At 42.7% G+C, this 15,722-nt stretch overlaps 1 protein-coding gene and 1 long non-coding RNA gene across 6 annotated transcripts in view; one reads left to right on the top strand and one right to left on the bottom strand.

Annotated features, from left to right (window-relative positions):
* The window catches only part of PTPN11 (protein tyrosine phosphatase non-receptor type 11), a 90,972-nt gene that overhangs the window by 36,447 nt on the left and 38,803 nt on the right, over nt 1–15,722 (bottom strand). For all 5 annotated transcript variants that reach the window (NM_001330437.2, NM_002834.5, XM_011538613.3 and 2 more), the window contains exon 7: nt 432–528. In NM_001330437.2, coding sequence (NP_001317366.1) covers nt 432–528 — 97 coding nt within the window. The remainder of the gene's footprint in view (nt 1–431; nt 529–15,722) is intronic.
* LOC124903023 (uncharacterized) lies at nt 3,227–15,722 on the top strand. The gene is made up of 3 exons (XR_007063466.1): nt 3,227–3,351; nt 4,736–4,832; nt 15,568–15,722. It is a non-coding gene; the product is annotated as an uncharacterized LOC124903023 (long non-coding RNA).

Genomic DNA, 15,722 nt, shown 5'->3' with positions numbered 1-15,722 from the left:
CAGGAGGTGTTTGTCTGTTTCCCACTTAAGGGAACTGAGTCCCAGAAAGGAGGCAGGCCTTACCCAGGACTCACAGGCCCAGTGAGGAGGAGTCAAGACACAAATCTGGCACCCTAAGGTCCCTGACACTGAGAGATCCCAAGCCTTGAGATGATCTATCTTGGGCAGACAGAAAATTAATTAACAGAAGGAACCAACCACAGACAAAGCCACCTAGTGGCAACTTTACTCAGTAATCAGCATCACGGGAGCTCAGTGAATGAAGTCATCAACACCCACCATGGTTGATTATTTTGGAAACTGCTTGCAATTAAAGAAGCTAAGGCCTCCGATGTGCTAACAAGAGCACACGACCCTGAGGAAAGGTACAGAGGTGCTAGGAATCAAAATCTCCAAGAGTGACTATTACTGAGCGGAATATTGATACTTACAGGGCAGGATGTTTTTATATCTATTTTTGTTTTTGTTTTCTTGCCTTTGACCCTCTTTTCGGCTGTAGAGAAGTTTGCACTCCTGTTGTTGTAGTGTCTGGAAAGAAAGAAAAGTCAATATTATTACGTGTCAAAGAGTCACAGAAAAAGAAAAAAGCCTGGATCAGCATTACTTCTTTAAGGAATTCATCCTAGGAAATGTTCAGAATTGTGTGCGATAGCTACAAGAATGTTCATCTGGGTCAGGCGTGATGGCTTACACCTGTAATCCCCACACTTTGGGAGGCTGAGGTGGGCAGATCACTTCAGGGCAGGAGTTCGAAACCAGCCTGGCCAACATGGTAAAACCACAGCTCTACCAAAAACACAAAAATTAGCCAGACATGGGCACCTGTAATCCCAGCTACGTGGGAGGGTGACACAGGAATCACTTGAGGAGAGATTGTGCCACTGCACTCCAGCCTGGGCGAAAGAGCGAGACTCCGTCTCAAAAAAAAAAAAAAAGAAGGTTCATCTGAATGCTGCAACAACTGTGGAGAAATGCTGAAAATAATATAAATGTCCAACAGGAAAGGACCGCCTAAATAAAACTATTGTTTGTTCATACAAAAGAATGTTCTATGTCCATTTAAAAAGATGTACTAGGAAAATAACACCTTGGAAAGATGATGAAAGTGAAAAGAAAGTCAAACCTCCAAAATAGCATATGATGTAATCATACACTTGCATTCACCTACGTACAAAAGAAATGGCATAAGGACACCATGATGTGCATCTGTAGTCCCAGCTACTCCAGAGGCTGAGGCTGGAGGATCACTTGAGCCCAGGAGTTCAAGACCAGCCTGGGCAACAAAATGAGACGCTATCTTAAAAAGAAAAAAATGTTTTAATTTTTTTTCTTTAAAAAAAAGGCAGAAGGCCAGGTGCAATGGCTCACGCCTATAATCCTAGCACTTCAGGATTACCTGAAGTCAGGAGTTAAAGACCAGCCTGGCCAACATGACAAAACATGTCAGCCTGACATGACAAACAGACTGGCCAATATGACAAAAAACCAGACATGGCCAACAAACCAGCCTGGCCAACATGACAAAACCCCGTCTCTACTAAAAATACAAAAATTAGCCAGGTGTGATGGCACACCCCTGTAATCCCAGATACTCGGGAGGCTGAGGCACGAGAATCGCTTGAACCCAGGAGGCAGAGGTTGCAGAGAGCCAAGATCACGTCCCTGCCCTCCAGCCTGGGTAACAAAGGGAGACTCCATCTCGAAAAAAAAAAAAGTGGGAGAAGAACCAAATAGGTAATGGTGATTTTTTTTTTCTCCCAGGGTAGCAGGATTATGAAGTCCTTTTCTTGTTTTTTTTTTCCCACTGTGTTCTCCCTTAAATTTTCTACAATGAAACAATAGAATATTCATAAGAAAAATCTTTAAAAATAACAATTATAAAGAATGAAACCCAACAAGGATTGGCGTAGCATATACAAATAACAGCTGTGATCTATATTCTTTTTTTCTTCTTCTTTTTTTGTTTTAAATAAGACAGGGTCTCTCTCTCTCTCTCTCTCTCTCTCTCTCTCTCTCTTTCTGTTTATCATATGATGGAGCCACGGCACTCCAGCCTGTGTGGCAAAACAAGATCCTGTCTCAAAAAAAAAAAAAGTCAATTTCAAGGGATAATTGGTTTACAAAAAGCCTAGTGTTTAATGGGAAATCACAAATAGGCAAATCAAGAAAGTAAAAGGTAGGCTAAGAAAAGAAAATTTATATATAAAATGCCAAAATGGCTACCCTCAAAGAGTCCTACAAGGAAAAACACAGTCATATTTCACAACACAGCAGCCCTGTTTTATTTCCATTTCATTTATCTGAATTTCACAAGTGTAAAGGTCTGGACTTTAAATTGGTATTTGACGCTCAGTTTCAAAATGCAACCTTCAGCCTGGACATAAGCTCATCACAAAAGCATTTAACTAGCTGAAACCTGGACAAAAATAAAAACAATGTAGGTAGAACTGTGACAAGGAATCAGTCATTTGAATTTTTTTTAATGAGCTCAGGTTAAGGAGTTAAGGCAGTTTGCCCTCTCTGGGCAAGCATTTCCTTGGACTGTGAGCCAGTCTTACCAAGCAATACTGCTGTGTTAGCAAGAAGGTTTAACCTTGATGTTTAGACAGGTTATTAAGGTGAGGTTCAAAAAGAAGTTCAAACACTGAACTGAATCAATCACTTCAACTAAATGAAGTGAAACGACATCAACAAAAAAATACATACCGGGGGAGGGGGACTGGGACTAATTAGCAGCTTGATTTAAAACAAACTTGTCAGGAAAGCATTCGGGCCTTCATTTACGAACCCAACTTCGCATGACACTTCACTGAGGTGGGGGGGCGGTGGCAGGGCACACGTGGCCAAAGCAATCACTATGCAAGGTGAATTTCCTACAGTTCCTGTTTAATTACCCTTCAATTTCTCCCTCCACCTTCAAGATCAAGTCCAAGCTGTTCAGGATGACGCACAAGGCCTTCTAGTCTCTGAGCTAATCAGGGCCTGCCTCTAAGTTCCTTTCTGTTTCGCCAAGCTACTTTGCCTGTCTGTGCCTCAGTTTCCTTGAGTGTGAAATGAGCACAATCCTTTCTACCCCCAAAGGGGCGGGGTGAGGGTCAAATGAGATGCATGTACATCACTATACAGTGCGTGACATACAACAAAGCAAGTATACAGATACTGGCTATTTCTATGACATCACTATTGCTACATGAACTCTACACTGGCTACTCCACGTGTGGTCTGTAGACCAGCAGCATTAGCACCACCTGGGAGCTGGTTAGAATCCCAGCCCCAGGTCCTACCCCAGACTTAATCAAAATCGGTATTTTTGCTCGAGGACAGGAGGTCAAGACCAGCCTGGGCAATATGGTGAGAGCTGGCTTCTACAAAAAATTTAAAGATTAGCCAGACATAGTGGCATGCATCTGTAGTCCCAGCTACTTGAGAGGCTGAGGTGGGAGGATTACTTGAGCCCAGAAGGTCAAGGCTGCAGGGAACCATGATTGCACCACTGCAGACCAGACTGGGCAATGAAGCAAGACTCTGTTTCCAAAAAAAAAAGCACCTTCAAGATGCTTTGGCATCTCTGCATACCACCTCTTATGTCATTTGTTTCTTTAAACTGAACTCCTCTTTTTCTCCTTCACAAAATATATTTCAAAAAGAAACTGCCTCAGCCAGGCCCAGTGGCTCAAGCCTATAATCCCAGCACTTTGGGAGGCCAAGGTGGATGGATCACCTGAGGTCAGGAGTTCAAGACCAGCCCAGTCAACATGGCAAAACCTGGTCTCTACTAAAAATATGAAAATTAGCTGGGAGTGGTGGCAGGCACCTGTAATCCCAGCTACTTGGAAGCCTGAGGCAGGAGAATCGCTTAAACCCAGGAAGCAGAGGTTGCAGTGAGCCGAGATTGTGTCACTGCACTCCAGCCTGGGTGCCAGAGCAAGACCCTGTCTCAAAAAAAAAGAAAAAGAAAAAAGAAATTGCCCTTACTTGCACAAATTTTAAAAATTTTTTCATTTTGCTGTATATAGAAGGTAAACAGAAAAGGGAATATAACAAAAATGAAATATTATCAAATTCTACCTAGATACTGGGGCATTCCTGAGGCTTTGCAAAAAAAAAAAGACACAGGCAAGTGTTAGAGGTAGATGTTAAACACTTACTACTACCATATGGAGACCTTCTTCAGGCTTCATCTACGGACTAGATAAGGATGAAAAAGAGAAAGCCTTTCTCATTTGCTAATTCATCTTACCTACCGTGATGGGGTAACACCAAGAATCATCTCACAACACAAAGGGAATACTTTGCCAGACTAAATTCAGAGTTCCAGACCAGGGAAATCCTCATCAATACTCATTTTGGCTGGGCCACCCATCATCAGGTCTGCCAGAGGCTTCCCTTAATCTTTTTTTTTGTTGTTGGGACAGAGTCATGCTCTCTCACCCAGGCTGGAATGCAGTGGTATGATCATAGCTCACTGTAACCTCAAACTCCTGGGCTCAAGTGATCCTCGCACCTCAGCCTCTTGAGTGGCTGGGACTACAGGCACGCACCACCACATCTGGCTAATTCTTTTCCTTTTTGTAAAGACAGGGTCTCACTATGTTGCCCAGGCTGGTCTCGCACTCAAGGACTCCAGCCCTCCTCCGGCCTCAGCCTCCCAAAGCACTGAGATTACAGGCGTGAGCCACTGCACCTGTCCTGCGCTTTCCTTATCCTGCAGTAAGTTCTCAATCACCTCTTCCAGGCGGACTTGGGGCTTGAACAGTGCACAGTCAAGATGGCTGCTGGGTCCAGAGGCTTCCACAGAGGACAGGAGAGGCACCCCTGCATCCCAGGCTCAGGTGGGTGCTAACTGCCAGCAGCTGACAGTTGTCACAGATTGATAATAGCTAACAGCACATCTCTCCCCCGGCTCCTTCCCTAGTGCACCAATTAGCCCAGCCTCATCTGCACCTGGGACTCAAGTTGCCTAAACATATTTCATTTCCCATAGCAGAAGATGCCATCCATCTAGAGTGAGACTGAAAATACAAACAATTCAGAAGTTGTGACTTTCCATGCTCTGCCCACAGAGGCTACCAAATGCTAAGGGCGCTTCCTCCCCAGCACCAGGCTTATGGTTCTAAGCTCCAGAAAAATATCAAATAAACCCTGCCCTCGAGGAGAATACATTCCTGTCAGGGTTTATCTTCCACAACCTCCCTCCCACCAGCAGTCCCTAGGGCACAAAAGCTGCTAATGACCTGTCAAGCTGAATGTCACCGCATCTCCATCCTTCTCCACTGGCCTTGGCAGGGATGCTAATGAGGAGGCTTGGGGCAGGCAGCAAAAAGGATAATGTAAAGCAGGGACACAGGCTGCCAGATATCCCATTTTCCCAAATAATACATCCAAAGGGTTTGCACCAAACTGTGAACTCTCAAAAAGGACCAGAGGCTAGTTACAGACACCTGACTGCAGGAGTCTAAACAGATCTAGAGCCAAAAAAACTGCATAAAACTATTAAATTTAATGATACGGTTTGGATGTCTGTCCCCTCCAAATCTCAAGTTGAAATATGACCTCCAGTGTTGGAGGTGGGGCCTAAAGGAAGGTGGTGGATCCTTCATGAATGTTTTGGTGCCATCCTCACAGTGAGTTCTCACTCTAAGTTCACGTGCAATCTGGTTGTTTAAAACAGTGTGGTGGCCGTGCGCAGTGGCTCATGCCTGTAATCCCAGCACTTTGGGAGGCCGAGGCAGGCGGATTACTTGAGATCAGGAGTCCGAGACCAGCCTGGCCAACATGGTGAAACCCTGTCTCTGCTAAAAATACAAAAATCAGCTGGGCATTGTGATGCGCGCCTGTAGTCCCAACTACTCAGGAGGCTGAGGCAGGAGAATTGCTTGAACCTGGGAGGCAGAGGCTGCAGTGAGCTGAGATCACGCCACTGCACTCCAGGCTGGGCAAAAGAGTGAGACACTGTCTCAAATTAAAATAAAATTAAAAAAAGAGCGTGGCTCCCACCCCACCCTTGCCACCACTCCGGCCATGTGATCGTCTGCCCTCCTTTTGCCTTCCACTATGACCGGAAGCTTCCTGAGGCCCTCACCAGAAGCAGATGCTGGAGCCATGCTTGTACAGCCTTCAGAACCATGAGCCAATTAAACCTCTTGTCTTTATAAATTACCTAGACTCAGATATTCCTTTAGAGCAGTGCAAAACAGCCTAACACATCTAATAAACTATTAAAAGGTATCCACAGAAAGTCAATGTCCTGATCCATGTTGTACATGTGAGTACCCAACGGCACTACTGACTGTGAGTACCCAACGGCACTACTCCACTACTGTGGAGGAGTTAAGTTTTCATTGTCTCCCTTATGTAAATGTAAGACCAACCCTTACATTTATGGCCACTGAACATTCCTGCTTCCCAGCCCAGACCCCTGCCAACCTAAATGCCAGGAGCAGCAGCCCAGTGACTGCAATGACCAAAATAGACCCCAGAGGCTTCCAAAGCCCTTGGATTGAAAACCACTGGACCCAGCTCTTGACTAGAATTTCATGAATGAAAGTGGAGGAAAAGGACCAAGGAGAGAGGCAGACAGAAAATAAACTGGCTGAGCCAGGCATCCCCAGGCACCATGACGATGCCCTAATGACCATTTCGCCTGCACTGCTCTGAGCAACAGAGCCAAAATACCTAGGGAAGAAAAATAATGACACTCACCATTACGGCCAGACCAACCTGTATAGTTACTTTACTTATTTTTTTTCTTTCTTAAATTTTTTATATTTTAAATTCTTGGCCTACCAAGCACAGAGATTACTTTTTAAGACAAAGATACGGCTGGGGGCCATGGCTCACACCTGTAATCCTAGCACTTTGGGAGGCTGAGGCAGGAGGATCACCTGAGGTCAGGAGTTTGAGATCAGCCTGGCCAATATGGTGAAACCCTGTCTCTACTAAAAATACAAAAATTAGCCCGAGGTCTGGTTCTGTTGCCCAGGCTGATCTCAAATTCCTCCCACTTCAGCCTCCCAAAATGCTGGGATTGTAGGCATGAGCCACTGCACCTGGCCTTTTCAACTTCTCTCTTTTACATTTCCCATCCATTCCAATTGTACTGGCCTGTGTGCAGATTGTGCAACAAGGTAAACAAACCCCCACTTCAGGGCCTTTGCACTTGCTGTTCCCTCTACCTAGAATGTTCTCCCTGAGGTTATATGCATGGTTGGCTCCATTATTTCCTTCAGAGCTTTGTTCAAATGCCACCTTATCAAAGAGACCTAAATAGTAAAGGCCTATCAAAACACCCTTTTTATCTTACACTAGTTTGTTTTCTCTGTAGCACTTATCACCATCTCACAGATTGAATATTGAACTGTTTCTTTGTTTACTGCCTGTCTCTCCCACTTGACTGTACACTCTATAAAGATAAAGACTGATTTGTTCACTGCTCCACCCCCAAAACCTAGAATAGATCCAGACATACAGTCGGTGTTCAATCAGTATTTGCTGAATGAAGGAAGGAATAAGTCACTGCAACCAGAAGTGTCTATAGTTTTTGGCAGATATTTTTGGGATATCTGCCCAACTCACTACAACCCTCATCACTGAAAACTATTTCTCCCCAAAGGTGTCCACAGCAGACACTTTTGTTCCACATGTTCATGTCCTTGACATTGTTCTTTGGACTAGAGATGGATGGCATCCGAGTCAATGAGAATCTCTGAGACTTTGGTACAAAGCCTGAAAGTTGCTAGTTTCAATATCTGAAAGGGGCTAGAAGTAGGGTTTGTAAGTCAAGAAGCAGAAAAATCTACTGAAGGAAAAAGAATGAAGCAGGTGTATGGAGAGCAAGGATACTGGATACAGAGGGGAGTTAGAGGAGGAAGATGAATGGAAAGAAGAAAGCCCGAGAGACAGTCCATCCACAACCTGGGTCCCACGGTGCCTTGCAGTCGGTTGCAATGTCCAGTCTCAGCCCACAGTACCCCCTGGCAGCTCAGGCCTATAGGACTCAACAGGGAGCAGCAGGCACAGAGAGAGGGCAAAAACCTTTTTTTTTTTTTTTTGTGATACACTCAGGCTGGAGTGCAGTGGCACAATCTCAGCTCACTGCAACCTCTGCCTCCCAGGTTTAAGCAATTCTCCCTGCCTTAGCCTCCCTAGTAGCTGGTATTACAGGCACCCACCACCACACCCAGCTAATTTTTTGTATTTTTTACTAGAAACAGGGTTTCACCATGTTGGCCAGGCTGGTCTTGAACTCCTAACCTCAGGTAATCCAGCTGCCTCAGCCTCCCAAATTGCTGGGATTACAGGTGTGAGCCACCACGCCCGGCCCAAGCACCTTTTCAATACAACCATGCAATATGCACCTCGCCACAATGCACAGGGCCGATTCAAGTGTACAATAACACACACATTGCAGGCACAAAATTACAGAATTATAACCGGCCTTTTCATTTAGTTAGTGTCATTCTCATTTGAGCAGAACTTTACTTTGTTTCAACAAATCTAAAAATATTATCCATCTCTTTACATTCTTGAGCAGAGATACTGCAGGAAGTGAGAGATATTTACACAGATCACAAATGGGCAATCTGTTGGACACAGTGGTGTGTGCCTGTAATTCCAGCCTCTCAGGAGGATCACTTGAGCCCAGGAGTTCAAGGCTGCAGTGCACTACAACAGTGCCTGTAAAGAGCCACTGCACTCCAGCCTGGGCAAGATAGTGAGACCCCATCTCTTTAAAAAAATTAATAACTGGCCAGGCACAGTGGCTCACACCTGTAATCCCAACACTTTCAGAGACCAAGGCAGGAAGATCACTTAAGGTCAGGAGTTTGAGATCAGCCTGGCCAACATGGAGAAATCCCATCCCTACTAAAAATACAAAAAAATTAGCTGAGAGTGGTGGTACGTGCCTGTAATCCCAGCTACCTGGGTGGCTGAGGCACAAGAACCCGGGAGGTGGAGGTTGCAGTGAGCTATCACACCTCTGCACTCCAGCCTGGGTGACAGAGTGAGACTCCATCTCAAAAATAATAATAACTAATAAAAATTAAAATAAAAAAGAAACAGGCAATCTGTAGGGAAAAAAAAATCAAAGACTTGGGTTTGCAATGTCTAGATCACACAACATATCCTACAAGAAAATCATCAACCTGAATTTATTTCAGCAGCAAAGGAGAAAATAACCAAAGAGCTTCACAAGAGACTTCACATTTTAAAGTGCATCAAAGGCAAAAGTAACGTCTTCTGGATAGTGATACCTGAAATGACGTGTAGAATTTTACAGAACACCAGGAGACAGGCATAGAGACAAATCAGAGTTAAATTACCAATGGCATTACAATTTAGAGCTCTGGTTTGTTTTAAAGACTATCAGAGCACACTGTAAGAAGAAAGTGATCCCAAATTTATCACCTGCCAGGAAACAACTAAGGTACAATCACTAAAATGATAATGCTTTGCTATTGTGGATCAAACTTTAGCTTCAGAGGATTTAGATTATGAGTATCTGCTTCCAAGTTCCTAATTTTTTCAATAATGGCTTATTCTGTTTTCAGCCTTATTTCGCTGGTTCCAACCTCAAAGGGCAATTTTTTAAAACAGACTGAATTTGAGAAGCAGGTATATAGGAGATCTAGAAAGCAGGCCATCAGCTATTTAGATATAGCTTCAGTTTCCATGAAACGTTAATGCCCTAATTTAGTGCACAACAATTTTACCACCTCAGTCTGACCTCTGTGGAGAGCCTGTAGAGTACAGATGTGATCTCGTTATTTTCCACTTCCTCTTAAAGTCAACTCAATTTTTCCCTTTTGTTGTTAATAATGTATAAAAGATGACCACAATTTGAGATGTGACAGTGTAAAATCACCAGGTCAGCATTTAGAAGCAACCATCTTTTTCCATGGCCAGAAGAGTCAGGCTAAGAGTTCCTTCTAAACTCACATCTTGACCCCACCAATGGAATTTGCAAAAAATACCCCATTGCCACACAAGCTCTTTGTGAAAGTCTGACTTTGTTCCTAAGCTTTGTTCTAAGTGAACCTAGTGTTAAAGAAGCTACCATGGTACCAGATAACCTGTAATGTTTTTGTTTTAAAGAAACTAATTTTTGCCAAGTGTGGTGGCTTACACTTTAGGAGGCCAAGGCAGGAGGATCATTTGAGCCTGGGAGTTTGAGACCAGCCTGGGCAACATAGCAAGACCCTGTCTCTTTTTTTTTTCTTCTCTTTTTACTTTGTGTGTCTATTATTTTAAATAATTTTAAAATGTTAAAAAAATTTATTTTAAAAAATGCTGTAATTTTTAAGTTCACAGTCATTTACACAAATGATCAACTCAGCTATCATTTGTAAAGGAAGTATAAGATTCTATTGAATCTAGATTACAAAATAGCTCACTATTTTTTACATTTAACCAAAATTTTAATTAAAACAAGTAGCTTGCAAATGTTATGCTAAAAGGTTAAAGCATGCTAACCAAAGTCATGTATAATAAAAGTTATAGATGAATAATAACCACCATTTTTTAAATACAGAACATAAAAAATGTTAATATTACCAGTAGTCAGCAAAAGTAAAGCAGGATGCATACACAAGGCTATTCACTGTAATCCTCTCTGTGATACATTTGGAAACTACCCAAATGCCCATCAATAGGTTGAATAAACTATGGTACAAGTACACAGTGGATTACTATACAGTAAAAAAAGAATGAAGACTATCTCTAGACACTATTATGGATATCCAGGATGTCCAGGATATTTAAAAAAGCAAGGTTAGAAAAAAGTATGTAAAGTTATGCTACTGTTTAAGAAAAAGTGGGATATGGGAATATCTTCTTATATTTTTGAAATATAATGATAAACCATAACTTTTTATACTATGGCTAAAACATAGGAAAGGACAAGGATAGAAGGTAGACTTCTTTGAATACACTTTGTTTTTTCAATTTGACTATCAAAGCCAGTATTTGTGTAATTATAAATAAAACTTAACAGAAAGAGATTTTTTAAATGAAACAAATAAACTAACCATATACCCAGTTAGCATATAGCCACACAGAGAGAAGGACGATTACAAATGAGTCTAAGGCACAGGAAGTTTTTTCATTTTTTTTTTTTAAAAACAGGGTCCCTGCTCTGTCACCCTAGAGTACAGTGTCACAATCGTATCTCACTGCAGCTTCAAACTCCTGGGCTTAAGCCTACTCTCGCCACAGCCTCTCAATAGCTGGGACTATAGGGACATGCCACCATGTCTGGTTAATTTTTAATTTTCTTTTGTAGAGACAGGGTCTCACTATATTGCCCCGGCTGGTCTCAAACTCCTGAGGTCCAGCGATCCTCCCTTCTTGTCCTCCCAAAGTACTGGGATTATAGGCGTGAGCCACTGTGCCCAGCAGAATACAGTAACTTGACTACACATCTCTGAAGGATTTTTTTGAAAAGCGCAAAAAAAATTAAACTGTTTTCAGTAATCATATTATTGGGAAGTCATTATTCTAAGATTGTTGTGTGTAATGTGGGATAAAACAAATGAATAATCTTATTATGGCTTCAAGAAGTAGGATTTTTGGCATTAGAGAAAGGAGATACATGGGTAAGATCAATGAGGTTAGTAAAAATCCTGAAACCCTGAGTTTGATTTGGAAGTATCAATTGAACCCATAACAGATTTCAAATCAGGAAAAAAAAATCTGACCAGGCTCATTGGCTCTTGCCTGTAGTACACCTATAATCCCAGCACACTGGGAGGCTGAGGCAGGAGGATCACTTGAGCTCTGCAGTTCGAGACCATCCTGAGCAACATAATACGACCACATCTCTACTAAAAATAAAAATTAAAAAATTAGCTGGGCATGGTGGTATGTGCCTGTAGTCCCAGCTACTCAGGAGGCTGAGGTAGAAAGATTGCTTGAGCCCAGACATTCAAGACCAGCCTGGGAAATAAAGTGAGACCTCATCTCTACAAAAGAATCAAAAAATTAGCCAGGCATGGTGGCATGCACCTGTGGTCCCAACTACACAGGAAACTGAGGCAGGAGGATCACCTCAGCCCAAGAGTTCGCAACTGTGTGTTTGCGCCACTGCACACCAGCCTGAGCAACACAGTGAGACCTACCTCAAAAAAAAAAAAAAGAAAAAGAAAAGAAAACTGCTTAGTAAGAAGGAAAAAATCAACCCTCGGCGATGAAAAGCTTTTTATAGAAATATGCCAACCTAACAAATGAAGAAGAATGATAAAATTACAATATCACTACCATATAGTCCCTTATGAATTAATGGATCTAAGTAATAATGATCAGGAGCTGCTAAGAAAATCAGAGAAGAAACAACAGGACATAAACACCTCCTGATACACCACCATACATGCTATCTTGCCAAAGAAAACTTGTATCCAATGAAGTCTCTAGATATATCAACTTACAAGAAATATAAGGGATGGATACATGCTTAAGTCCACCACAGAGAGGCACTCAGCAAAATTCAGACTATAAGTAACTCTCAGGACAAATGATCTGCTTTCTTCAACAGCAGAAAAGACAGGGAGAGGGGGAAGGAAGACAGAAAAAGAGAGATGGAAGGGGCATCAAAGTATTCTAAGAGACTTAAGATTGTTTTGTTTTGTTTCGTTTTGAGATGAAGCCGCACTCTGTCTCTAGGCTGGAGTGCAGTGGCGCGATCTCGGCTCACTGCAACTGCCACCTTCTGGGTTCAAGCGATTCTCCTGCCTCAGCCTCCCGAGTAGCTGGGACTACAGGCACGCACTACCACGCCCAGCTAATTTTTGTATTTTTAGTAGAGACCGGGTTTCACCATGTTGGCCAGGATGGTCTCGATCTCTTGACCTCGTGATCCGCCCACCTCAGCCTCCCAAAGTGCTGGAATGACAGCCGTGTGCCACCACGCCCAGACTTAAGATTTTTACAACAGAAATATTATGAGACTTAGCCAACCACAGTGTGTGAAGCTTATCTGAAAAATGATTGAACAAAATATTTTTAAATTATAAGACAATTGGTATAATATGAACAATGTTGGGTTATGTGATGCATTTTTAAGGATTCCACAAATATTGAAATATTTATAAATAAAAAATATGATGACAGGGATAATTGATAAAGCTGATAATGGCATATCAGGATCCTTTATATGAATCTGTTTTATACACATTTGAAATTTTTTCATAATCAAGGTGGAAGAAAGCACTCCCAATTCAAACAAATTGCTGCTGGGCACAGTGGCTCATGCCTGTAATCCCAGCACTTTGGGAGGCCAAGGTGGGTGGATCACCTGAGGTCGGAAGTTTGAGACCAACCTGGCCAACATGGTGAAACCCCACCTCTACTAAAAATACAAAAACTAGCCAGGTGAGGTGGTGGGCACCTGTAGTCCCAGCTACTCAGGAGGCTGAGGCAAGAGAATCAGTTGAGCCCAGGAGGTGGAGGTTGCAGTGAGCTGAGAATGCACCATTGCACTCCAGCCTGGGCAACAGAGTGAGATCCATCTAAAAAGAAAAAAACACAAATTGCAAGTGTGTGTGTGTGTGTGTGTGTGTGTGTGTGTGTAGCAATCAGGAAAATGTGACTGATATGTGTTAATATTAAGGAAATACTGTTAATAGTTTTAGATATGATAATGCTATTCAGGTTATAATTTTTTGAAATAAAATAGTTACAGACGAAATGATGTGTTAAGATTTGCTTCAAGGCCGGGAGCAGTGGCTCACACCTACAATCCCAGCACTTTCGGAGGCCAAGTCAGGCGGATCACCTGAGGTCAGGAGTTTGAGACCAGCGTGGCCAACATAGTGAAAACCCTGTCCCTACTAAAAATACAAAAATTAGCTGGGCATGGTGGTACACACCTGTAATCCCAGTTACTCAGGAGGCTGAGGCACAAGAATCACTTGAACCCAGGAGGCGGAGGTTGTAGTGAGCCAAGATCAAGCCACAGCACTCCAGCTTGGGGGACAGAGTGAGACTCCATCTCAAAAACAAAAAACAAAACAAAACAAAACTCTATCTCAAAAAAAAAAAAAAAGTATTTGCTTCAAGACAAGTCAGGGCTGGGGAAGTGAGTGGGGCAGAGTCGAAAAAGATTGGCCATATTATCAACAGTTGTTAATGCTGGGTGTCAGGTATACTGCTATAACTATCCCATTCTCTCTACTTTTGCATATAATAGAAATTTTCCACACTAAAAAGTTTTGGAACAATCGGCTTTCCATTCAATTTTGATGAGCGGTTTCTAAAACTTCTGTATCTTCCCATCTTACCTCATGAGGCTTTATGAAGGTGAAATGAAGTGAAAGTAATGAAATGAATGACTGCTGAAATGCTGCCTTTTATTATTTAGGCAGGCAGGGGACAAGGAAGGCAACAGTGAGGCTGAGATTTCAAAATTCTGTCTCACTATGTTTATCATCAATTTTTTTTTTTTTTGGGACAGGTTCTGGCTCTGTTGCTCAGGCTGGAGAGCAGTGACGTGATCTCAGCTCACTGCAGCCTCAATCTCCCAGGCTCGAGCAATCCTCCCACCTCAACCCCCAGAGTAGCTGGGACTGTGGGTGCGCACCCCCACACCCAGCTACTTTTTGTATTTTTTGTAGAGACGGGGTTTTACCATGTTGCCCAGCCTGGTCTCAAACTCCTGGAATCAAGTGAGCTGCCTGCCTCACCCTCTAAAAGTGCTGAGATTACAGGAGTAGCCACTACGCCCCAGCCTATCATCACTTTTTCACTGATGCTTTTCATCACTGTTTTCCTTCTCTCAACTAAAAGCTCCCTTTAAAGGCAGTAACCCTGTCTGTCTTGTTCACTAGTGTCTTCAGAGCCTAACGCGAAGCCTGGGATGAGAGAATAAACTCAAATTCAAGTCTCTGTTCAGTAATGTTGAGCAAGGACTGAGAATGTTCTATTCCACACTCCTCCCCACTGCTGGAATTCAATCAATATCTGTGGTATGGGCCGGGCACAGTGGCTCACACCTGTAATCCCAACACTTTGAGAGGCCAAGACAGGAGAATTGTTTGAGCTCAGAAGTTCAAGACCAACCTGAGTAACACAGTGAGACCCCATATCTACAAAAAATGAAAAATTAGCCGGCTATGGTGGTGCACACCTGTAGTACCAGCTACTCAGGAGGCTGAGGTGGGAGGATGGCGTGAGCCCAGAAGTTGGACGCTGCAGTGAGCTATGATTGCACCACTGTACTCCAGTATGGCAGCAAAGTGAGACTCTGTCTCAGGAGGAAAAAAAACAAAACAAAACAAAACAAAAACTGTGGTATGAAGATTGAATAATTTACTTAACCTCCCTTAGGCCCCTCAGCTGGAAAATGGGAAATCATATCTATCTCAGCAAGTTGTTCAGACATACTCTGGCTAAAAGGACTTTATTTGCCCAGTATTCACTTATTCATTCAATCCACAAATATTTATAAATTGTAGTCCTCAAAAAGCATAGAATAATCATTCCCATAAAACAGAACAGGAAAATAAAATGATGTAAACATGAGTTAAATGTAAATCTCATTCAACAAACATTTATGGAGTTTCTTCTGTGTACTAGGCACCGTGCTACATGCTGGGGACAACTGCAAAGGTAAATATGCCAGAATCCTTGTTTTTGAAGTTTTCTGTCAAATGGATGAGGAGAAAATGAAAGAGATCACATTGTCAATGGGTAAGTGATATAGAAGAGTGCAATGGGAACACAGCACATTC

The sequence above is a fragment of the Homo sapiens genome, chromosome 12 (genome assembly GCF_000001405.40).
Source record: "Homo sapiens chromosome 12, GRCh38.p14 Primary Assembly".
Taxonomy (NCBI): domain Eukaryota; kingdom Metazoa; phylum Chordata; class Mammalia; order Primates; family Hominidae; genus Homo; species Homo sapiens.
Note: the sequence above shows the minus strand (reverse complement) of the source record. Positions and strands in the feature narration are given on the sequence as shown.